We start from the raw sequence: 25,330 nt of genomic DNA, 5'->3' as shown, positions 1-25,330 counted from the left end.
ATCTGCCGCTGCATCAAACCAATTGAAGCACTTTGGGGCTTTTGAAGGGGGGTCTGTAAGGAGAGCTTTGGCTGTCGGGGTGCATGGGGGTAAAATATTTTGGTTGTTGGGGACTGTGTATGATGCACTTTGGTTGAAGGAGTAAAGCTGTTTGGGTGTGCATGTGGGTGTGTGTGCGAAGTGTTTTGGGTGTTGGAGTATGTGTGTGGACCCTTTGGTTGGGGTGTGTATGTGTGTAAAGCTCTGTGCGTGTGTATATTAAGTGCTTTGCTTATTGGGCAGATGTGTGAAGCCCTTCTGATTTCTGGGTTGCATGTGTAAAGTACTTTGGTCATTGGGTGCATGTGTGTAAAGGTTGTTGTGGTGTGTGGAGTGCTTGGTTGTTGGGGTGGGCGTTGTGCGTTTGTAGGTGTAAAGGGCTTTTGGGATTGGATGTGGATAGGTGAAGTGGCTCATTTGTTAGTATGTGGGTATGAAGTGGTTTGGTTGTTGAGGGTTGCATGTGTAGTCCTTAGGTTGTGTGTGTGTGTGCATGCGTGCACGTGTGAGAGAGAAATGCTGTGGTGCTGTGTTTGCTGGGTGCTTTCCTCTCGCCCAAGTTAAACCCTGACAGATGCTTAAGTGGTGATACATGGAAAACGAATTTCGGAGCAAACCAACTTCCCAGGCAGGGACCCTGGATCCTCTAACACCCAGCAATGAAATGGTACAGCATTTTCAGGCTCTCTCTTCAGAACTGGGAAATTTTTTACAATGACCATTTATCATTGGTGGGGGTAGGGAAGGATATTTGAATTAGTTTTTTTTTTTACTGAAAAAATTAATTCACGTTCAAAATGAAAAAAAAAAAGCAGGAATACATACTCCTGGTAAAATGGGAATATTACAAGGGGCTAGAGAATGAAAAGTCAAGCTCTCTCGCACCGCTGTCCCCGGCTCCCCTTCCCAGTCACCCATTACCAGTAACTTTTGTGCCATCCCAAACACAGGTCACACATCCATGCTCCACGTTGGCCTATATTGTACACTATTCTGCACTTTGCTTTTTTCACTTCAGAGTACATCTCGGAGATTGTTCTCTATCAGCATAGATTTTATTCATATTGTATTTTTTAACTATAACATTGATTGGGGAAAAAAAGATGCCTCTATTCTGGACAAGCCAAAGTACTGGGAACCAGGTCTCTCCCTGTAAAATATAATAATGATACCCTGGTCTGATGCTGAGTCTCCTGTTTATTGCCTCATTTATTCCTCAGAAAACCCGGAGAAGGAGTTACCACCCCACTCATAGAGGAGGACACCAATGCAGAGAGAGGTTGGGTCACTCACCAAAGCCACACAGGATGTGGCAGAGCTGGAATGTGAACAAAGGCAGGCTGAATGCAGAGCTCTTGCCATCAACCTCTGCCTTCCAGAAAAAATAAAAAGGATGGAACTGCCTGGGAGCTGGGAGTGACGGGAGAGTTAGAGGGGCCTCTGCCACCCCCAGACCCACTGGAGAGCCCAGAGCCCTGTGTCTGAGCTACCCCACCTGCATTTGTCACTCTCCATGAGCCCCAGTGACCACTGCTGTCAGGAGAACCCAAGCAGACGCTGGCTCCCATCTCCCAGCCCAGGCCCCTGAGGGTGAAGCATGGTTTGAGCCTTTTCATGTTTCTCTGAGCACTGCCCATGCACAATTGCCCCCCTTACACCTGCTTATTATCAAATATAAGTCGCGGTCGCGGAGGTGGGGCACTCCTGTAATGAGGGTGTTTCCACTGAGGCCACAGAGTTGAGCTGGGTGCGGCAAGGTGAGGCTCTAAGCTGGCAAGCAAAGACAACATTCCACAGTGACCAGAGCCCTGAGCCCCAGGTTGCCACAATACCAAGCCCATCCTGAGGGAGGATGCGATCTCTCCACCTCCCCCATCGCCCCATATCCTCTGCATTCCTCTCTCTCACCGTATCTCAGTCTGCTGTGCAGTTGTTAAGAACACTTCCACCACATCAAGGACAAAATGGACGTGAATATTTGCAGAGAATGGGAAAGACCTGTCTGTGGTGTTGGAGGAAACCTATCCGGGAAGGGAAGGTTTTCAAAGGCAGCCCAGAGGCCTGCTGATGACAGGGGAGTACTGGGGACTTATTAGGCCAAGAAGAAGGCCATCTCTGTTCCGTTAGGGTCCCAAATGATGACCCTCTACAGACAAGGTGTAGATACAAAGATCCTCCTAAAGCACAGAGCTACGTGCTCAAAATGCTACGGAGGCCGAAAACAGTCCTGTCCCACAGGGCAGCCCCTTGCCACGTGGCCAATCCAAATTGAGATGTGCTGTAAGTGCAAAACACACACCCCATCTTGAAAACTTCATGTGAAAATGAAACAAAGTATCCCATGAACAACTGGATATTGACTAGATGTTGAAATGATGGTATTTGGAAGCTATTGCATTCAATGAAACAATTTATGAAAATTAATCATGGCGTGTGCTTTGGTTCGCCCTTTACCTTTTTTTTTTTTTTTTTTTTTTGATGTGGCTATTAGAAAATTTAAAATTACGTATGTGGCTACCATTACATTTGCATGGGACAGCACTGGCTTAGAATCTAGCCTTTCATGAATATATACCACTACCTCCATTTTACCAATGAACAAACCAGCTTGACCAAAGTCACCAGCTAATAACCACAGAAACCAGAATTCACATTATGAGAGGCCAGTGATTCCAGCTGAACAGTCTGCTAGTTGATAAAACTCCTAAAATAAGAGAGGTGGTGTTATTTTCACAAGCTCTTATGCAAAAGTGTTCAGTGCCAGCAAGGACTGAAGCAAATGAGGAATCTGAGGAAAGCAAACTAAAAGCCTGTGACTGGCCGGGCATGGTGGCTCACACCTGTAATCCCAGCGCTTTGGGAGGTCGAGGTGAGAAGATCACTTGAGCTCAGGAGTTCGAGACCAGCCTGGGCAACAGAGCAAGACAACACGGTGATGCACATGCCTATAGTTCCAGCTACTGGGGGTGGGGAGTGCTGAGGAGGGAGGATTGCTTGAGTCCAGGGGTTCGAGGCTGCAGTGAGCTATGGTCGTATCACTGCACTCCAGCCTGGGCAACAGAGAGAGACCCTGTCTCTAAATAAACAAAGAAATAAATAATAAAAGCCTGTGCTTGACCTCCTGACATTGGTTGGGAATGTTAAAGGCGCACTGGGTTGCTCTTTCTGAACAGGGACTGGGCAGGCTTCTGTGTAAACTTGGCCAGTCCCTTCCCCTCTCTGGGCCTCAGCTCCCCCATCTGTCAACACGGAGCGGTGGACTAGATGTTCTCTGAGGTCTATCAGGTCACCAGGGCACAACTCACAGATTCCTCCCCTCCAGGGGTGAGGGTGAGCTTCGGAGCACCGAACTGGGTCCTTGGGCTAGTGACAACCTCTCTTGTGTCATCTGTGAGTTGGGGATGAGAAGAGGGTGAACTTCAGAACTCTGCACTGAGAATGAATGAGATAGTGCAGGTAAACGTATCCAGCACATGCCTGGTACACAGGAAGCACTCAATAAATGCTAGCTCTTGTAGTCACTGTGGTAGTTACTAGGTTGATCAGCTGGCATGGATTGTTCTGGGCCTGTAGACTCAGATTCTCAAGCAATTTCTGCCTCAGAGCCTCCTGCTAAACGGACACACTTAAACGCTGAATTTGATGGAAGGCAGGTTCACCTTGCACTTGGCTTTTAAAGGGCTCCTTACCACTGCAACTCAATTCCATGACTGGATGGATAACAGAAGCACCCGGGAGGAGGGCAGCTTGGCAGGAGCCCACAGGAAGATTCAAGGTTTCATAACAAAGCATCTTCTGGTGTGTCAAGAGTAAGACTAGGCCGGGCGTGGTGGCTCACGCCTGTAATCCCAACACTTTGGGAGGCCAAGGCGGGTGGATCACCTGAGGTCAGCAGTTCAAGACCAGCCTGGCCAACATGGTGAAACCCCCTCTCTACTAAAAATACAAAAAATTAGCTGAGTGTGGTGGCAGGCGCCTATAATCCCAGCTACTCAGGAGGCTGAGGCAGGAGAATCGCTTGAACCCGGGAGGCAGAGGTTGCAGTGAGCCAACATCAGACCACTGCACTCCAGCCTGGGCAGCAAGAGCAAAACTCAAAAAAGTCTCAAAAAAAAAAAAAGTAAGACTAGAAACGTCCACGACCCCAGCGGTGTGTTAGGGGCTCACCTTTTTCCCTGAGTAGTTGTCCAATGTCACTTTTCCATCTGCAGGAGTGACGCCAATCCGTGGCCACAGGCTTTCTTCTGCCCCTTTTCCCCACCGTGGGAGGACTCTGACCTTTCTTCTCAACAGCTGTTTACATTTTTTTACCCCTGAATTGTGGGTAAACAGTCTCCCGTATTAGATAAAGGCTTTATCAGCTCACCGGCTCATCCCCTCCACACAACCTCCAGTGCAAGTCTGCGTCAGGAGTAAGCCAAACGCGATGAGTCTCCAAGCTCCTTATCTTGCACTTAATTGGAAGAACCTTGAGTTCAAAGTGTAGGCGCCCAGCTGTCTCTGGCGTGCGTCGGCTGCCACCTGCTGGAAAATCCTGGTATGGCGTGGTCTCCTCGGCCGACAGGCTCGCTCGCTGGGGGAAGAGGTTCATTCACTCAGCCAAGAGATATTTCTGGAGCAGGAAATATGTGTCAGCCAGAGTCCTAGGCACTTGGAATGATTTAGTGAACAAAACAGAGACCCGTATACCTGATTTTCTGGAGCTTATCATTTTTCAGAGGGTGACAGGCAATAGACAATATCACAAATACATGATACCATATGTTAGGAAGTGACCAATATGTGGGAAGTTTTTTTTTTTTAGTAGAACATGTAAGGGGGGGTTGAAGTGCTCGATGGGGAAAGGTGAGTTGTAAAGAGTTTTCAGGGTCAGCCTCATTGAGAAGGCTGAAGCTTTTTGAACAAAAGCTTGAAGGAAATGAGGGAAATTTCCATGGAGGAAGAGTGAGGCTGGCTGGGAGTGCAAAGGCCCTGGGGTAGGAATGCGCTCATGTCATTCAGAGAATACCAAGGAGGCCTGCGGTGCTGGGGGGAGAGGGCCACGAGGAAAGGTCATGGTACTGATCAGAAAGAGGGGAGGCCAGAAGGTGCAGGGTCTCATGGGCCACGTTTAAGGGCCATGACTATATTAGTCACCTTTGTCTGCCATAACAAAATACCAGGTATTGCTGTAACATTTAGTTCCTCCATAAGAGAAAACCTGGTGGGTGTGGTGGCTCACACCTGTAATCCCCTTTGGGAAGCCAAGGCAGTGGATCACTTGAGCTCAGGAGTTCGAGACCAGCCTGGCCAACATGGCAAAACCCCATCTCTATCAACAAAAAAAAAAAAGAAGAAGAAGAAGAAAGAAACATGACAAAATAATATAACTTCCGTTGGCTTTTTTTAGACATATAATTTCATTTACTAGATACATGAACCAATCCTAAAATATGTGTGTTGCCCCTGTATTACAGATAGGTAAACTGAGGTTCAGAGAGTTATTGTATCGCATGGGAAACTGGTAATTGAAACTAAGTCTGTCTAAGTGTGAAGTCTTAGCTCATTTTGTTAAGTCACCCCTACCTCCCTAGGTATGTGTATTCATCTCTGGATTTGATTTGCTAATATTGTGTTGAGGATTTTTGCATCTAAGTTCATGAGAGACACTGGTCTGTGATTTTCTTTTCTTGTGCAATCTTTATCTGGCTTTGGAATCAAGGTTAAACTAGCTTCATAAAATGAATTGGGAAGTATTCCCTTCTCTTCTAGTTTCTGAATAACATGGTGTAAAATTCGTGTTTTTTTTTTAAGAATTCTCCAGAAAAACCATCTCTGAAGCTTTTTAAATTACAAAGTCCATTTCTTTCATAGTTTTTGAGCTATTCAGATTGTCTGTTTCATCTGGGTTGGGTTTTGATAGGTTGCAGTATTTACAGAATTGGTCCGTTTCTTTTAAGTTGTTGAATTTATGAGCGTAAAGTTGTTCAAAGCATCTGCTCATCATATTTTTAGCAACTGCAGGATTTGTAGTGATATCCTCTGTCTCAACTCTGAGATTGTGGTAATATGTCTTCTCTCTTTTTATTTTTGTCAGTCTTGCTAGAGATGTATAAATTTTATTGGTTTTTTTTGAAGAACAATCTTTTTGTTTTATTGATTTTTCTCTATTATCTTCCTATTTTCAATCTATTTCTGCTCTTATTTTTATTTCCTTTCTTCTGCTTGCTTTGGGCATAATTTTCTTCTTATTTTTCTAGTTTTATGAAGTGAGAACTTTGATTATTGATTTCAGATGTTTCCTCTTCTAATGTTAGCATTTAGTATTATAAATTTTCCTCTCAGCACTGCTTTAGCTGCACCTTAGAGTTCTATGTGTTTTTAATTCCCTTTGAGACTCCTTCTTTGACCCATGAATTATTTAGAAGTATGCTGTTTAACTTCCAAGTGTTTGAAGATTTTCCCGTGGTCTTTCTGCCCTCTGAATTTTAGTAACTGTCTCTGATATTATTTCATCTCCATGAGAACAGGACTTTATTTATTCTATCGCTACATCACTGATGACGGGAACAGAACAATAGTATGCTCTCAATAAATAAGGATGAACGCATGATTGAAATAGTTTAAAAATCAAGACCCGGAAAACTGAAGCTTAAAAAGGAAGAGAAGGACATCAGAAAGTTGATGGTGATTATCAGTGGGTGGGAAAATATGGTTACCTTTTATTTTCTTCTTTTTATTTCATACTTTCCAAATTCTCTGCAATGAGCATGTCCTAGTTTTACCATCAGGAAAATGAATTATAATAGTGGAAGTTGCCATTGCTGATCATTTTCACCCTCTCCCTGGCAGGTCATATCAGAATGTGAGTTGCTAAAAAAACTGAAGATGACAGGACTTCAAAAGGGCCCTTAAGAAGGTCCCAGAGCTGAATTGACCCAGACCCCTCAGAAGACAGGGAAGGACCCTGCTAGCCACCCAACTTTTATAGGCTTGTAAGATTACTGCGACAATAACTTTCTCATTGAGACCATGCACATTTTCAGTCACAGGGTCATTTTCATGTTTCTCTTCTAGGCACACAAAAGTGCTTAGAGATCTCATGAATTAGTGTTTATCCCAGGATATCTGGTTTGGCATTGTAAATAAAACAACCACCTGCCTAAGTCCAGCCATCAAAATTACTTTGACAATTTACTCTGAGGAAGCAGTATTAGCATTTGCTTTCAGGGTTCATGATGTGCAAAAGATTACTTAAAAATAGGAGGGAACAGAGAAGAGATATCGTAGTTTTTTGATCTTGTTTTTTAAAAAAATATTGCCATCTCTTACATCTTTTGTCACAGTCTCTTCATGATTTTTCAAGGCAATTTCTTTGGGAAGCCAAGTGGCTGAGGCAATTTGATGATAACTCAGCCAACCTGCATCACTACCTAAACAGTTTTTAGGTATGGACAATTTCTGAAGATGAGTGAACATGCTTTTCTGCTTTTGAAAATAATCCTGAAAACTTGGTTTCAATTTTTTTCAACAAAGTGATTGCCCAGATCTGAAAATGTTTTTTTCACCCTTTTCTACTTTTGAGGTGAGGTGATTTCCTGTAAGGTCCAGGGATTTGGGAGGGGCTCAGGATAGGGCAATTTTATAACCTGATGCCTGGGGGTAGTACACAGTGCCATGCATGGGGATGTCCCACAAAAGGCAGGGAAGCAGGTGTGGCAGCGGCTATGTCCTCTTTGGAGCTGAGCCACAGAGGGCATCAGGATCAATGAGCAGATCTTTATCAATCTGTCTGAGTCTTAAAGAATAGCCAAGGACATGAGAATCTGGAAAACCATAACATAATTGAATTGGGGGAGAATTCGACTCTCCCCCAATGAAGAATCCACATCCCAGGCACAATTCATGTCAAACAACATAGGCTATGCTAAAACCAGCAAGACATGGGGTCTTGTAGTATAAACTAGTCTGTGTCTTACAAATCATTTGATTTCTATAATTCCTGGGTACTTGATTTGCTCATGTTTTTTCTGTTGCTGAGTTGACTGATTTGAACTACTATGTCAAAAGGCATAGATTTGTTTATTCGTTTAATTTTTATTGACACCCACTGTTCCATTTAATTCAAAATTATTCATTCCTCCATGGCTCCCTGGTAGAGACCAACCTCAGCCACTTTGGGAGACTGTTCACCAAATGTTTCTAGTTCTCTGCTTTCTGAGTGTGTGAGGCTTTTCCTTCCCTGACTGTGAAAGTTAGGCATGGCCACAAGCCCACTTTGGCCCATCAAATGTGTACAGAAGGGACACATTGGGCCAGTGAGTAATTCACTTCATACTCTCTCTTCTGTTGTACTGGGGATGTGTGTGTTGAGACGAAGCCATCATGGGTCCCAAACTATGACACCACTCCATGCTGACCCTTAATGGACAGGTAATGTGAACAAAAGAAAACATTTATTGTACAACGCTGCTGAGATCGGGTGCTTGTTACTTGCAACGTCACATGGCCTCTCCTCACTGATGAGCAAGCACACACACATGCACTTGTCCACATGTTTTGCATACACATTGTGCTGCTTGGGAAGGAGGCACTCTCTCTTTGCCACAACTCTCCCAGCTGATAATTCTCTTTTGTCCTGCCGTCGTGGGATTCCTGTGGCTAATTCACTGGATTTATTCATTTCTTGGTTGGTTTTCCATGTAGAAAGCCAAAGGAGACTTGGAACATATGTACCCCAGGGTGGTGGGTAAATCCAAGAGAGACACAATCTCTGTCTCTAAGGGCTTGCAAGCTGGCTTGGCAGAAGACAGATCCAGGCAATATATAATAGTGACAACCACAAATGGGTGCTCCAGAGCAAAATGACAAGATGTTTGCACGGCAGCAGTTTTAAGAAGGAATGCATCAGGCGGGGTGCAGAGGGAATGTAAGAGCAGCTCCAGTCCCAGGTGGCTCCTCTCAGCCTCTCCAGATCCACCCTTTGCCCCTCTCCATGCCGCTCTCTACCCCACGAGACTGGCCTGTCTGTCCTACAGTAATAGGCTGCACCCCCTCTGGCTCTGGGCTGGGTCTGGTCAATGGGGTCTCTGATAGACTAGGTCAGTGAAGCTGGCATATTTATTCCTCTGTCTCTGTTCTCACAGGGTCATCTCAGGCTGGCTGCATGCCTCAGCTGAAGATCCCAGCTCCTGTCAATGCCACCTCTCTGCTTGACTGTCTCCTTCCAGATTCGGTAACTCTCTCCTGTCTGCCCTTTAGGCCCAGGGATGGTAAGAGCCCTGAACTGAGATCCCAGCTCCAGGATATTGCACCAGCCCTTTCAGTTTCTGTATACCCTGCCCACACCTTAGTCAAGGCAGGTGTGGGCAGGATACACATTTATTTTAAGGGACTCCTTAAAGCATCCTAATTTGAGTGTGCATCTGTTTCCTGATAGCCCCTGACCATTAGATCTTGCTTTGGGGAGCCAGCAGTAAAAAGGAAATGAATGCTTTGTCTAATTATAGGGTCAGTTGGTAAAAGAGGTGGAAAGCTTTTAAAAATGATTCGTTCTTCATTATGAAATGAGTTATTAAATGGCTTTGCTTCTCCTAGAGTTAAAAAAAAAGGGTTGGAGGCCAAGTATTGGCCTCTTTGCACCTGTAATGAGCAAATGGGCTGTCCTGGAGCCTTTGTCTCCCAAAATCCTTCATCAATACTGAGGCACAGAGACCAGCCAGGATGTCACGTCACCACCGAGGCGCTCCCCCAATTCCCCCTTATCTGGCAAAGTTGATACCAGAATTCCAACCACTGTTTTTAACTTGAACCTGAGAACAGAACCTAATTTCCAGATGCTCAAGGAAAATTGTAACCTTTCTTTGGAGTTTCCTTATTTAGCATACAGCTGCTTGGAAAGGAGGCACTGTCCCATTGCCACAACTCTTCTAACTGGGAATTCTCTTTTTTCCTGCAGTGGGATTCCTGTGGCTAATTCACTGGATTTAGTCATTTCTTGGTTTTCCACGTGGAAAGCCAAGGGACACTTGAGTCTGGGAGTGCTCTAGGCCCTGTCCTCTGTTCCCAATCCCCAGGGACCCTAACTCCTTAGCTGTATCCAACTCTGGAGAGGTGCAGCCAGGAAGACGCTGGTACCTGGAGCCCCAGCATTTCCCAAAGCAGCTGGAAGACGCAGACACATGATTACAGCTGCTGGGACTGGATCTGGGGGGCAGGTCAGCTCAGGCATGCCAGGATATAAAGAGAGAGGAAGTGCAGATGGCAATTTGGAAGATTTAGGAGTTCTTGGGCTGTCATTGGATTTTATGTGTTGTCATTGACGTATGTGTGTATTCTCTCCAGAGCAGGTATGAGCTGGGAAGAATGAAGGCAGGGCATGCCCGTGTGCCAGCTCTGCACAGCTGGATAGCTGAGGAAAGATGTGGAGGAGAAGCCGGGGATTGTGTGGAAGTCTAAGGGTGTTGTTTGCCCTTTGGGTTCCAGAAGATGCATGCCAGGACCCTGGGTGGCACTGCCAGGAAGCAACAGAGAGGAGATAAAACTCACAGCAGACAGACTTGCCTTAACAACAACTCCCTTGAATTAAAACACGCTTTTCAAGAAAACAAATTATCAGTTCGATCAGCAAACAGCAGAGAAGTTTCTCTCATAATGGCAAAGAAGGGCCGGGTTGCTGACCAGTGAAAGAGCTTCAGAAAAGGAGAGGGGAGATGAGATGGCCAGAAGGAGCAAGAGCACCGTACATCCCTGGACAACCTCATTCTAATGGGTCAGGGGCTGGGACGTGCATTTTGGAGTGCAGGAGAAGTGGCAACTCACAAATGCTAGATTTTCTTCTAGAGATGACCAAGCTGTAGTTCTTAAAGCAGTGGCACTAGGGCAGAAAACTCTCACACTTTGATGTGCACACACAGCCCCTGGGGATCTTGTTGACATGTAGATTCTGATTCCGTAAGTCGGGCTGAGATTCTGCATTTCCAACAAGCTCCTAGATGAGGTCCATTTTGCTGGTCCATGAAACACACTTAGAATAAGTAGCAAGGTATAGGAGGATACTGACTTTGCTCAGTGATGCTTGGGCTTCCGTCCAAACTAAAATAAAACAAAAGCAGACATAAATGGCCCAATTCAACAGCCTGAGAAGTTTGGTGATAATGACCCAAGCCCTGGCCTGGTGACCAAGTGGCTGCTCAGAGAGCTCTATCTCCAAACTCCTTCCCTTCCTGCCTCCCCTCCAAGAGTGAGTAATGTGCCAGAGTTCATTGGGGTCTGCTGTCCCCAGGGAAAGGTGGCCCAGTTGCCAAGTGCAAGTGTATAGAACGGCTTACCTGTGCAAAGCTATCAGCCCTGGACCTATGGGCCTAGAAACATTACTTGCCACTCACTCACTCACTATCATTCATTCATTTCTGCAACAAACACTTCCTGAGCATATGCTATACACCAGGCCCTGAGCTCAGCTCTGGGGATACAGGATGAATGGCAGATTGTGCCATCAGGAAGCCGACTGCACAGTCAGCCCGCTGGAGCACATATGAAAAACAATACGGATGTTTTGATTTATTATCATATTGATCATTATGATGGTAGCGTATACTTTTGGAAGGCTTGCCATACATTAGGCATTGTGCTAAGCACATTATATGGTTAATCTCATCAATCTTCACAACCTATGTGGCAGGTACTATTATTAAACCCACTTCAAAGAGGAGGGAACTGAACCTCAGAGAGGGTAAGTGACTTGCACAAGGACACAAGCTAGTGAGGAGAGGAACTGAGAGGAATGGCCAGACAGGCCATCAGCCTCTGTCCCCACATGCTGGGTCTGAGTGTCTGACGGTGGACACATTCCCTTCCTGGAGGGAGAGCTCCTAGGGAGCTGATGGCAGCACTGAGTCTGGAATGTGATGGGAGTGCATTAGATGACGTGGGTGATCTGATGAGTACAGAGGCGTCACACTGCAATGACTTCATGCACATATCTCCCCTTGAATGCACAGAGATTCAGCAGAGGCCAGGAGCTCAAGTTTCTGGCCCAGTGTCCCCCTCTTCCCCTGGGGAAAGCCAGGGACACACTGCCTGGCTTTGCTACACCTTTCTAGGCAAAGGCAGTATGCTCTCCCTCTCCTTGGCCTCCCTGGCTGTCCACACATCCACACCCACTCACACACACATGCACATGATCATACACATTACACAAGCCCACATGCCCACAGACATGCTCACACTCACACTCACATGCATACACTGCCATACACAACACACATACATACATTCACACACACTTGCACACACACACACACACACAGTTCTGATGGCCAATCTTTTGGGGCTATGTTGACACTGTGAAGCAGGTGAAACAAAGTCTTTGCCACTCCCTGCTTTGGGCCTATTATGTTTGTTTTATAGTTTAACTCTCAAAAGACAACTTTATTTTCCAAAATTATTCAGGTTCCCAGCCAGGTGCAGTGGCTCACACCTGTAATCCCAGTACTTTGGGAGGCCAAGGCGGGCAGATCACCTGAGGTCAGGAGTTTGAGACCAGCTTGGCCAACATGGTGAAACCCAGTCTCTACTAAAAATACAAAAATTAGCCAGACATGGTGGCACACACATGTAATCCCAGCTATTCGGGAGGCTGAGGCAGGAGAATCGCTTGAACCCGGGAGGCGGAGGTTGCAGTGGGCCAAGATCGTGCCACTGCACTCCAGCCTGGGCAACAGAGCAAGACTCCATCTCAAAAAACAAAAACAAAATCATTCAGGTTCTGTAGGGGACCCTCACTGTGTCCTGGATTCCATTCCACTTTTAAAGTCCCAAACAGCTTGTATGGCCACTTCCCTTGACACCCAAACCAGATAGGAGTCTTAAATGACACAGAGTATTGATGGTTTCTTTAAAAGGAAATCCACTCTCAATGGGAAGCTGGATAACTTCGCATCCAGATTTCATCCATCTTGGGCTTTGGTGGCTGCTGTTTGTTTTTGTGCAGGAGAATCTCTCCCAGCCAACGTCGATTTCACTAACACAGTGGTTAACCTTTGCTCTCTACTCCTGCATCAATCTTCCGCCTACCGCATGTTGAGCCATGCTGCTTTCTGGCATTCCTTTTGGATTTTCAGTTTACTACCCAACTACCAGTCCTAATAACATCAGATAAAAGGGCTTCCGCTGTGCTGCACTTGTTTTCAAAAACTATAAATGCCATCGACCCAGAGTTAAGTCCAGCCTCAGAGAGACAGAATATAAATACCCAAGTGGCCCTGGGCCACTGAGTTCCTCAGACATTATGTGCTATGGGAGTTCCAGAAAGGGGGATTGCCTGGTTTTGAGTGCAGAAGGCTTCCTGGAGGAGGCGAGATTTCTGATGGGCCTCTGTTATGAGCTAAATTGAGTCCACCCCAAAATTCAGATGTTCAAATCCTAACCTGTAGTACCTAAGCATGTGGCCTTATTTGGAAGCAGAAGCATAACAGAGGTAATTCGTTAAGATGAGGTCACAGTGGAAGAGGGTGGACCCCAATCTGATACAACTCGTGTCCTTATAAAAAGCAGAAATTTGAAGACAGACACACAAGAAGATGAAGGCAGAGACCTGGCTGATGCGGCTATAAGCCAAGGAACGCCAAAGATTGCCAGCAAAGCACCAGCAGCCAGGGAGAGGCCTCGAACAAATTCTCCCTCCCAGCAAAAAGGAGGAAGGAAGGAACCTCCAAAAGAAGCAGGCCAGGCACAGTGGCTCACGCCTGTAATCCCAGTACTTTGGGAGGTTAAGGCAGGCGGATCACCTGAGATCAAGAGTTCAAGACCAGCCTGGCCAACATGGTGAAACCTCATCTCTACAGAAAAATACAAAAATTAGTCAGGTGTAGTGGCGTGCACCTGTAGTCCCAGTTACTCGGGAGGCTGAGGCAAGAGAATCGCTTGAACCTGGGAGGTGGAGGTTGCAGTGAGCCAAGATCGTGCCATTGCACTCCAGCCTGGGTGACAGAGCGAGACTCCATCTCAGAAAAACAAAAAAGAACCCTACTGACACCTGGATTTCAGACTTCCAGCCTCCAGAACTGTGAGATGTTACATTTCTGTCATTTAAACACCCAGTTTGTAGTACTTTGTTGCAACAGCTCTAGTGAGCTAATACAGCCTTGTAGGACAGGTAGGAATTTGTAATGCACAGAGAAAGCCAACTGGCCACAGTTGTTGAAAATAATAGAATCGAAGCGCCCCTATCACTACCACCCCAGGCCATCACTTTCAAAGCTGTTCAAAATGATGCAGCCGCGTGAGAAGGCCGGAAGGCCAGGGCGGGAGATGGGCTCCAGGTGGGCCCAGGCTGCCTGCAGAACCAGCTTGCCTCACTGCCTGGTTGCCAAGGAGCACCTGTGGCTAGGAGGAGATGCCCAGGAAGAAAATTTGGCCACATCCCTGCCTGCCTCCCTGGCAATGGGTGATGCTCTCTGCCAGCTGGCCCAGCTCCCCCACCACATACCTGGCTAGGAGTCAGTAGGAAAACAGTGTGTGTTTGTAGGGCTCTGCACTGAAGGGCATTAGATCCATGCAAAGGCTAATAAATTAGAGATAAGTGGGATTTGTAGATTTGCTGGAGGTTAGAGCTGCAGGGTCTGGCATCAGCTCTGGGTCTTTTCCATGGCCCCAGGCTGGCTCAGGTGTGAGCTGAAGAGGCAAAACTGTCTGTTTAGGTTGCATTGGGTTCCCCTGAAAGATCTGTTGAAGTCCTAACCTCGGGTACCTCTGTTTGTGCTATTTGCAAACAGGCTCTTTGCAGATGTAATCAAGGAAAGATGAGGCAACGCTGATTTAGTCAGGCCTTAATCCAGTGACTGGTGTCTTCATAAGACAAGGAAATCTGGACACAGACACACAAAGAGGAAAAAGCCAAAGACACAGAGACACATGTACACAGGGAGAACTCCATGGGACAACGCAGGCACAGATCGGAGTGACGCGGCTGCAAGCCAAGGAGCGCCAAGATTGCCAGCAACCCCCTGGGGCTGCAAGAGGTGAGAAGGAGCCTTCGGAGGGAACATGCACTGCTGATTCCTTGATTCCAGATTTCTGACCTCCAGAAGCATGGGAGAACAGATTTCCCTTGTTTGAAGGCACCCAGTCTGTGGTCCTTCATCATGGCAGCCCTCAGGAATGGATACAGGCCCTTCCCTGCCTGCCTGGTGGAGCAGCCTCCAAGGGGAGCCTTTGCTAGCAGGAAGAGGCATCGCATGGAGCTCAGACCCGCCTCAGAGGAACTTCTCTCAGCCTCCTCTCTCCGCACACCCGACCAAGGTGTGAAATCCCTCCCCTTTACCTCTGCCACTTGCAGGTGGCAGGATGCTGGAGCTGTCCCTGCCTCTTTGTAAAGTGAGGGAAGGGCAGCCCTCTCTGCTCTTTTTTTTTTTTTTTTTGAGACAGAGTCTCACTCTGTCTCCCAGGCTGGAGTGCAATAGCACGATCTCGGCTCACTGCAACCTCCGCCTCCCAGGTTCAAGCGATTCTCCTGCCTCAACCTCCTGAGTAGCTGGAATTACAGGTGCCTGCCACCACGCCCAGCTAATTTTGTATTGTTAGTAGAGCCAGGGTTTCACCATGTCGGCCAGGCTAGTCTCAAACTCCTGACCTCAGGTGATCCACCTGCCTCGGCCTCCCAAAGTGCTGCGATTACAGACATGAGCCACCACGCCCGGCCTGCTCCACTTCTAAGGCTTCTTGTGACAATGTAAGAGAAAGGAGATGACAGAGCTTTGCAACGGGAGGAGGGCTATGTGTTCTGGTGACCAATTCACTGTCTTGTGTCGGGACAGGAAGAAGCCCTTCATACGGGCAGCAGGCTGGGAGCCAGGGAGGAGGAAAGATCACGATCCACTCCCTGGTACATGGCCCTTCTGCACCCCGCAGTCTCCTTCCAGGTGCCACAACGAGAAGGCACACATCCTTGGCACAGCACTTGAGGCTTTTCACCACTGGCTGCACTCACCCCTCCAGACTCACTGCCTTGCACCAACCCTTTTCCGCCCACCCCACTCTATGCTGTCCACAGCCTCCACCCCAGCCACCTGATTCTGCAGGCCAATGTCACATTCTTCCAGTCCAGGTTCTATTCTGGCATTTCTTGTCATTATTTTGCTGAGAATGTGTCTCTCTTGACTTTGAACTTATTGAGAGCAGGAATCATGACTCAGCCATATATCCCAGCACTTGGCCCAGGGCCTGTCGTTTCCAGGGTAGGTGGTCTAGGCTGATTGAAGGAATGGCATTTAGTCTTTAAAATGAAAGCATGTTGCCTAGCTTGGTTATTTTTGAACTCTATAATCAAGGACTACGTTTACCTGAATAGCCTCTGCAGAACACCAATTCCGTAAGGTGCTTCACACACACACACCAATTCTATCATTTAATACATTTTGGAAAGGCTACATACTACTACAGCCTCTTTTACAGATTAGCAATGTCCATGAGCGCACTAAAGGTTGAGACATTCTGCAGTGAAGAAGCCTATTTCATTTTGTTTAACCAAGTATTTCTCAAATTTATTTGATCATATGTGGCAGAAAATGCTGTGTCTGGCATTCTTCATTTCCCTCTTCCTCCTTTAACATGGAACCCCTGATGTCTTTAGCTTGGCACATCGCCACCCAGAATAAAAACTACCTTTCCCAGCTCTTCCTGCAGCTAGGGGCAGCCCTGGGATAAATTCTGGACAATGAAATACAGGCAGAAGTAAATCATATACGATTTCCATGAAGGGACCTTAAACAGAAGTGTGCCCTTCTCTTCCCCACACATTCCTCCTCCTGTCTGAAATGTAGATGCAACTGCTGGCATTTGAGCAGCCATCTTGGGCCATGTGGTAGCTTCTTATGGATGATCTAGGACTAATTCAAGGGTCTAGATTTACCTCCAAACTTTGTTTATCTACAAAAAATAAAACTCTATCTTCTTAAAGCTACATGATCTGGCATTTTCTGTCCCATGCAGCCAAACATAATGTTGCCTGATGCACCCTGAAGCCCCCTTGTCCACACCACCTAATTCTGCAGGATACTATTGCAGAAATCTTGATCACCTAGAACACGGAAAAGGCACATGAAACCTGGAGCATTTTCAACTCAGTCCTGGTTTTCCCTGCCTCCACCTCAGCATGGGTGAACTAAAACTATTTCTGCAAGATGTTACTGCAGAAATACTGATCATTAGAACATAGGGTGAGCAAAGCCTGTGGCCAGGGCAGGAACTGATCCCAGGGTCTCATCCTCCACTGGAGTCATGGAGTGGTTGCATCCAACTGAAAGGGCAAGGCAAGAAAAGGCAAATGCCAGCCCCTGAGAAGGTGGGTGACCCACAGGCCTGACTGCCACCCTGTGCCCCACAGTCAGGGCAGCAGGAGCGTGGCGTCCCTACCGCCTCCCCACCAACCTCACCTGGCTCCCCCTCTCTCACACTCACTACTCTTTGGCCACATTGGCTGTCCTTCAGTCCTTCCAGACTGTCCTCCGTGGAGCCTCCCAACATGGTCCCTCCACCTGTAATTCTACTCACTCCTGGCTGCCACCCACCTCTCCCTATCAGCTCATTTTCACCTTTTGGGTCTCAGCCTGGGCATCCCTCCTCAGAACCCCTCCATCCTCACCCTGTATGAAGCAGCCCTCAGGCCCTCCTGTCCCTCTGCATAGCCTACTTGAACACAACACTGATGGTATTGTGGGTTTGTTGACTTATTTGTTTTCCTAATCCCCACTGGCCATCCAAGTTGAAGAGGGCACGGTCTTTGCATGTTTTGCTCATCACTGTGTACTCAGCACCTAGCACAGAGTTGTTGCTCCATAAAGATTTGCTGACAAGCTGTCCACGGGTGACTTCCAAAAGCCTCGGGGCCCCAGCTGGGTGATTGTGCCCTGAGCCAGAATTTCATTGCAGTTTTGCAAAAGTGCCAATGACAAATCTGTTCATCAGCACAAAACAGACACTGGCACGCTGGGTGTGTCCTCACCCACACCCTCACCTTGGGGCCATCAGTCAGGCCCTGTGTTTCAGGTCTCACTAGCTCAGGCCATCACTCCCTCCCTGTCTTGCAGCTGTCGGGGGACAGGGGAGGGGGCATGAAAGAAGGATCTGATACATTGTGCACTGAACATGGTAATGTAAGCAATCCAAGGACATACTGTGAGAAGCACATCTTCCTCCCTCCTGGCACCCCAGCCTCCCAGTTATCTTCTCAGAGGCAATCACTCTCCCCAGCATCTTCGATGTCCTTCCAGAAGCGCTTCCACGCATACACAAGCACACGCATTAATAGGATTTTCTTACTCAAATGTGAGCATGTTATGCGTATTATCCTGCACCTTGTCATTCACTTGCTCTGCTTTTCAACCTAATATATGTTAGAGATCCACCTACATGAGGCCACCTCATTCTTTCGACTGGCTCACATGTTGGCATTTTACTGTATGACTGATGCCTCAGTCCCCCAGTGAGGTGGTCTAATGAGATATCTCATTTCTCACCTAAATAAAGAATGCTTTCTGAATACCTCTTTGCACACATGTGGGAGTGTGTCAGATAAATACCTTTAAGTGGAGTTGCTGGGCCAACAGGTATGTGCCCTTTAGCTTCTGTTAGATAGTGCCACAGTGCCCTCCTAAGAGGTTCTGCCAGTGGGCCCTCTCATCCAGAATGTATGTGATGGGGAACGTGTGTCCCCATCTCCAGCACATGGAATCTTCTGACCCTACTTCATTCCTGTTTGGGCTGGTCTCTGCTCCCTAGCCACCACTGCCCACCTGCCCTCCCTCCCTCCCTCCCTGGAACCCAGGTTCTTACCTGCCCTCTGCCCTTGAAATTCTAGAAATCCTTGCCTTTAGGCCTGCATGCTTTGTCTAGCATCTCTCTTCAACATTGACCCACACGGAGGCCCAAGAGTGACCATGATCCTGTTACCTGGGAGAGTAGGCAAAGTCCCAGAATTCTCTCACTGTGAAACGCACTTGTCCAGAAGATTCAAGTGTCTGTGAAGTTCTGGAAAGTAGCCCCATGCCCAGGGAAATATGCCCCTGTGAAAGTGTTTCACAACAAGCAGTTGAAACCAGGAGAAGGCATGTTCCATGACTCTCTACAGTGTGGATCTGTCATCCCCTGACCTGAGTCACTGGACTTGGAATGGGAGTGGCATCCTGATGATAATTTGACCTTTGACCTTTAACTCCCAACCTGTTGGTGAAGAGTCTTTTTTTTTTTTTTTTTTTTGAGACGGAGTTTTGCTCTTGTCACCCAGGCTGCTGGAGTGCAATGGCATGATCTCAGCTCACCGCAACCTCTGCCTCCCAGCTTCAAGAGATTCTCCTGCCTCAGCCTCCCCAGTAGCTGGGATTACAGGTGCCCACCACCACTCCTGGCTAATTGTTGTATTTTTAGTACAGACAGGGTTTCACCATGTTGGCCAGGCTGGTCTCAAACTCCTGACCTCAGGTGATCCCCCTGTCTCAGCCTCCCAAAGTGCTGGGATTACAGGTGTGAGCCACTGTGCCCGGCCAAGAGTCTTCTTTACTAATCATCTTCATCATTTATCATCTTCACTCACCACCTTCAGGCATGGTTCAAGGCATTAGAGAGAGTATCATGATGACAGGCAGGACTCCCAGGTCTGAGCCAGCCTTGGCTTCACCTGCCTGAGTGACCTCAGAATGTCTCTCCCTTCTCTGGGCCTCAGATTCCTCCTCTAGAATGGGAGGGGTTGGCTTTGGGATGGGCCCTGGGGTCCCAGCCCTAATAGGGGACTTCCCAGCTAACCCCCAGCTATCACACAAAGGGGAGCTGTGGAAGCCGGACTCCTTGCCTAGCCGGTCCTCAGGCCACCCCTCCATCACTGAGTCCCAGGTGGGGCTCAGAGCAGGCGGCTCAGAGCAGCTAACTGGCTCTGTGTTCCTCTAGTACACTTTATTTTTTGTTTGTTTTGCTTTGTTTGAGACAGAGTTTCACTCTGTCGCCCAAGCTGGGGTACAGCCTCCGCCTCCCAGGTTCAAATGATTCTGGTGTTTCAGCCTCCCAAGTAGCTGGAATTACAGGCATGCATCACCACGCCTGACTAATTCTTGTATTTTTAGTAGAGATGGGGTTTCATCATGTTGGCAAGGCTGGTCTTGAACTCCTGACCTCAAGTGATCCACCCACCTCGGCCTCCCAAAGTGCTAGGATTACAGGTGTGAGCCACCACACCCAGCCTCTTCCTGTACACTTTAAACTTTGCAAAGGTATTCAAGGGGCTTCCCTTGCCATTCTATGATAATCTGTCCTTCTCCTTTTGCCCCAATATCCCCTTCCCCTAGTCTCAAACACCCAGATATACTTTTTAAAAATTTTAATGAAAGTAAACATGGCCCATTCTCAAACCTCCAAACAGAGGCCACAGGTAAAATTCCCTCCCAGCCACCAGCACCACAGGGAGAGTTTCACCTCGTTAAGGACACATCGCAGGGCAGCCACTCTGAAAACAGTACCTGGGGGTCCAGTGGAAGCACCTGCTCATCCAGGGCTCAGTTTGGTCCCCAGCACTGGGCAGGACACCCCCAGACAGATTCTGGAGCCCATGCACTGTGACCCCTGAGGAAGAATCAGCCCGAGATCAAAGCCCCATGATGGAACTAAGTCGTTGTGCCTAGGAGGGAGGATGGAGATGCCTGGAGTCATGTGGCCGAGACCCACCTCAAGGAGGGGCCCCAGCCCAGAAGGCTGCTGGCCTGCAGCTCAGCCAGAGAAACTCAGGGTTCCTAAGTCCCTTCTGGCTGCAGGTGAGGCTTGTATCTTTGGGTTCAGCCTGGAGAGGTGGAAGCAGGTGAGCACTCTCAGAGGTGATTGGGATGGTGGTGGGAGTCAGATTCCTAAAGACAAGCTTACCAGGACCTGGGAGGTCATGCCTGGTCTGCAAGGAAGACACTGTGGTTGGATGCAGCTGGCTGGACTGCAACAGGTCCACCTGATGCAAATCCCCTTTTCTTCTTCTGTGAGCTGGAAAGAACCTCCCTGGAGCCACTAGATGGCAAACAGGCTAGCTCAGGTTAAAGCCATCACCACCAGATGGGCAAATGGGCTAGCTCAGGTTAAAACCCTCACCACCAGATGGGCAAACGGGCTAGCTCAGGTTAAAACCCTCACCACCAGACAGGCAAACGGGTTAGCTCAGGTTAAAACCCTCACCACCAGACAGGCAAAGAGGCTAGCTCAGGTTAAAACCCTCACCACTAGATGGGCAAACGGGCTAGCTCAGGTTAAAACCCTCACCACCAGACTGGCGAATGGGCTAGCTCAGGTTAAAGCCTTCACCACCAGACGGGTGAATGGGCTAGCTCAGGTTAAAGCCCTCACCACCAGACTGGTGAATGGACAAGCTCAGGTTAAAGCCCTCACCACCAGATGGGTAAACTGGCTAGCTCAGGTTAAAGCCCTTGCCATCTGCATGGTACATCCACACGTGGTATAACAATGCCTTCCTTTTGCTCTATACCTGGCATCTATGTGCCCAATTTATAGATTCAGGCTGGCCTGTGCTCAACTCCCAGCCCCTCTATAAACAAGCTGGCCTCGGGAAGCCTCTTGAACTCTTTGAGCCTGTTTCCTCATCTGTAAAATGGGCAGGATAACAGTGCCTGCCCCACTAGACTTGTGAGAGTCAACAAGAGAATGCACACACAATGCTTGGTGGCTTGCGGGCACAGAGGAGGCTGCTCTCTTGCTAAAGATTAAATGCACCATTGCCTTTTGAGGAAGTGCCTCCTTGCCACTTGCCATTTCTGCCTCTGTCTCATCCTGCTGGAGACTCAAAACATCTGAGGGGGGCTGGCTGCGGTGGCTCACGCTTGTAATCCCAGCATGAGCCTTTGGGAGGCCGAGGCAGGTGGATCACTTGAGGTCAGGAGTTCGAGACCAGCCTGGCCAACATGGCAAAACCCCATTTCTGCTAAAAATACAAAGATTAGCTGGGCATGGTGGTGCATACTTGTAATCCCAGCTACTCAGGAGGCTGAGGCAGGAGGATCGCTTGAACCCAGGAGGCAGAGGTTGCAGTGAGCTGAGATCACACCACTGCACTCCAGCCTGGGCTACAGAGTGAGACTCCATCTCAGAAAAAAAAAAAATCTGAGGGGCCCTCTCATTCCCCCACAGAACCAAGCAAAGCCCTGGTTAGGAGGGCTGGTCACTGTCCCCAGCCTTGGCTCCCTGGAGAGAAGAAACGGTGCCTCCCCAGGTGTCTGAGGAGGGGAAGAGGAGCCTTCCAAGGGAGCACTAGGATGTTCATCTCTTTCCCCTTCCCTGCCTCTCTTTGCTGGGCTAATGTTCATTGAGCCCCTGCAGTAAGCCATGCGTTGTGGGGGGAAGAGGATAAGAATCGTCAGGAAGGATTCAGACCTAGTTGGAGACACGCACCCAGAGAGAGAGAGACAAATAACACACCACAAGACAGCCATCCCTCTCTTCAACAAACAAGCACAGCAAAACTCTCCAACCAACTTCTGCCTTAGGAGTCGAGGATACAAAAATGAATGAGACACTGTCCCTGTCCTCAAAATGTTTACCGTCTAATAATATAATTCCACTCAGCAACTGAGGGCTTCCAGGGGCTTTGCATGCTTTGTTTCATTTGTAATCCTAACCCACTCTCATGCAGGAGGTCCTAGTATCCCCATTTTGCAGACGAGGAACCTTAGACTCTGGAATGTGTCCATCGTCTGAATAATCACCACTAGGTGTCCAAAGTGCTCTAACTAGAGCCTACACACGTTGCCTTGGGAGCTTCAGACTGACTTTTCAGAGCAAGTTGTGGTCAGGGAAGAATAGTGTCTGAGCTGCTTCTTAAATGACTCAACCTCCAGCAGGCCAGGCAAGGCAAGGAATTCCTGGAACAAGACTAGTATATGCAAAACACCTGGGTATAAAAGAACACAGGGGGCATGAGCTATTTGCTCAATTCTAAAATCTAAGAGGTTTTCAAGGTAATGGTGGGAGACGTAGCTGCGAAGGGAGGCAGAAGCAAGAGCTTTGAACAGAAACCTAAAAAATAGAACTTCTGGAGGCAATAGGGAGCCATTGAAGGTTGTTAAGCAGGGAAGAGAGCATCTGAAAGATCACAGGTCAGTAGAAGTAAACCATATTGTCAGGGCTCTGAGTCATGGGAGAGAAGAACATGGGTAGGGTGAGCCAACAAGGTTCCTAGAGGCAGGGCACTCCAGTTAGGCCCAATGCTCAGATGAAGGTAGCATGTTGATAGGAAAAGGCAATGGTCAAATTAAGCCACAGACAAGGCACATGAAACCTGGAGCATTTCAGACTCAGTCTTGGATTTCCCTGCCTCCACCTCAGCATGGGCAAACTAAAAAAGAAACAGCTGAGAAAGTGTCAGATGTATTAAATCCACTGAGTTCCTGTCTCGGGCTCTTGGGCTCTGCCTTTCATGCTATATTTAGATGCTCCAGAATTCTCCTCTGCTCAGGCGTGTCCCACACCCCCTCAGAAGAGTGAGCATGTTTCCTGGGCTCCCCCCAGCCTTTGCCAACCCCATCAAGCTTCCTGTCTGACCCCAAGACACATTTTCCAACCAGGGTTTGAGGGACTCCACATGGCCCAGCCCCTCTTCTCCCTGAGATCTGGATTCCACAAAGAACCAGCCAGAATTTGGCATTATTCTCCTCATGAAGAAAAGAAAGCCTCAATCCTTTCTTTGGCTGGGTTTTTCACCATAACTGGTTTTCATTAGCTTTTAAATGGAAAATAAATTTTCCCCAATGGAACATTGCCATTTATTTGCAGAAAGTCATTGTTCATTTCATATTTTTTTATGCTGAATGACCCAAGCCTGAGTCTGCTGAGGCTCTGTCCAGGGACCCCAGGGAGTGTGATTTAGAAACCTTCCTGGCAGGCACCAGAAGAGACAGTGTCCAGTTGCCTCCTATTAAGCCTGCAGGGTTGAGAAAACTCACTTTCCCTTCCAGTCCAAGTCCTAGTTCACCTGGCAAAGAAGCAGCTTCTCAAAGTCTCCTCTTCCTCCTAGCCTCTCCTCACTCTGGTGCTAAAAAGAGAAGGAAAGAGTAAACAAAACCAGGAAAGTAATCCATTGATAAAACGCCAAGTGATGTTGTTCTGCGGAGCCAGAGTGGGGCCACCTGGGCACAATTCTCCCACAAAGGAGCCAACTCTACTGGGGCTGAGACCCAGAGCCATCTGGACTCCCAGGCCAGCCCCAGAGCATTGAGCAGCGGGTTAGGATACTTAAGGAGAGGCAAGTCAGGCAAGAAGCAGAAAGACAGGAAATGGAGAGATAGGAAGCAGAGAGACAGGAAGTGGAGGGACAGGAAGTGGAGAATCCAGCAGGGGCCAATGTTGGACAACACTCCTTTGCCAGCTGTGCTCCCCATGCAACGGGATGAGGAGATTTTAAGCCTCTACCAGAAAAACTCAAATCTGGAGATAATTTAATTTTTCCTGGGTCTCTGCCAGCCATCTCCAGAGTTTTGTCAAATTTTCCACCTACTTCCTCTGTGTGTGGAAACTCAGCCTCCATTTTAGAACTCCATTCCCAACAGTGGTTCTGCACCCCCACCCATGTTTTTTTGTTTGTTTGTTTGTTTGTTTGTTTTTGGTTATCCTGGAGGTTTTGTGGATTAAGATGTGTGAGATGAGGGGTTTATAGGGACTGGCTGGAGGTATGCCCCCCCTTCCACCCACACACCCACACACACATACACACGCACACGCTGTTGTGCAGAAGATGTTTCTTGGGTGGCTGAGCAAAGAATCAGGTATTTGGATGTCCTGATTTGACCCTGAGAAAAATAGCAGCCATCCACAGAGCTCTGAAACATACTTCCCACTGCTTGGAATGGCAGCTCCTCCTCAGAGTAAGTTGGAAATTTTTCTACTTTATTGCATAAATATAGAACCAAATCACACACTATATAAAGTTTTATATAGGAATATATAGATTTTAAAGTTCACGGTCTTCTCCTCTTTCCTTCTAATCCCACCACTCTCAGGATTACTATTTTGATGTGTATCATTGATTTTTTTATTCATGCTTTTTTAATGTAATGCTTATGAATACACATTCCCCTATTGGCTTTTCTCCCCCAGACAAAACTGGGACAAGCAATTAGCTTTTGAAAAATTTAACAATATATCCTGGCCATTGTTCCAGCTCAGGAGATATGGCTCTGACTCTTTTTTAACAGCTGCATAGCATCCTATTGTGTGGAGGTGCCATGATTTTATTAACCAGTCTTCTGTTGATGGACATTCAAATTGTTTCAGGTTT

General features: G+C 47.7%; 1 non-coding gene across 2 annotated transcripts in view, besides 1 other annotated feature; it reads left to right on the top strand.

Moving 5' to 3' along the window:
- The window catches only part of EMX2OS (EMX2 opposite strand/antisense RNA), a 60,776-nt gene extending 43,795 nt beyond the window's left edge, over positions 1-16,981 (top strand). For both annotated transcript variants that reach the window (NR_002791.2, NR_144378.1), the window contains 2 exons: positions 9,165-9,253; positions 10,363-16,981. This is a non-coding gene — a non-coding RNA (EMX2 opposite strand/antisense RNA). The remainder of the gene's footprint in view (positions 1-9,164; positions 9,254-10,362) is intronic.
- Positions 21,642-21,871: a silencer, noted in NCBI's record as "silent region_2861". NCBI's record gives its function as "represses an Ori minimal core promoter by ATAC-STARR-seq in GM12878 lymphoblastoid cells {active_cell/tissue: GM12878}" and the evidence as "EXISTENCE:reporter gene assay evidence [ECO:0000049][PMID:35858748]".

This window comes from Homo sapiens, chromosome 10 (assembly GCF_000001405.40).
Source record: "Homo sapiens chromosome 10, GRCh38.p14 Primary Assembly".
NCBI classification, from domain to species: Eukaryota; Metazoa; Chordata; class Mammalia; order Primates; family Hominidae; genus Homo; species Homo sapiens.
Note: the sequence above shows the minus strand (reverse complement) of the source record. Positions and strands in the feature narration are given on the sequence as shown.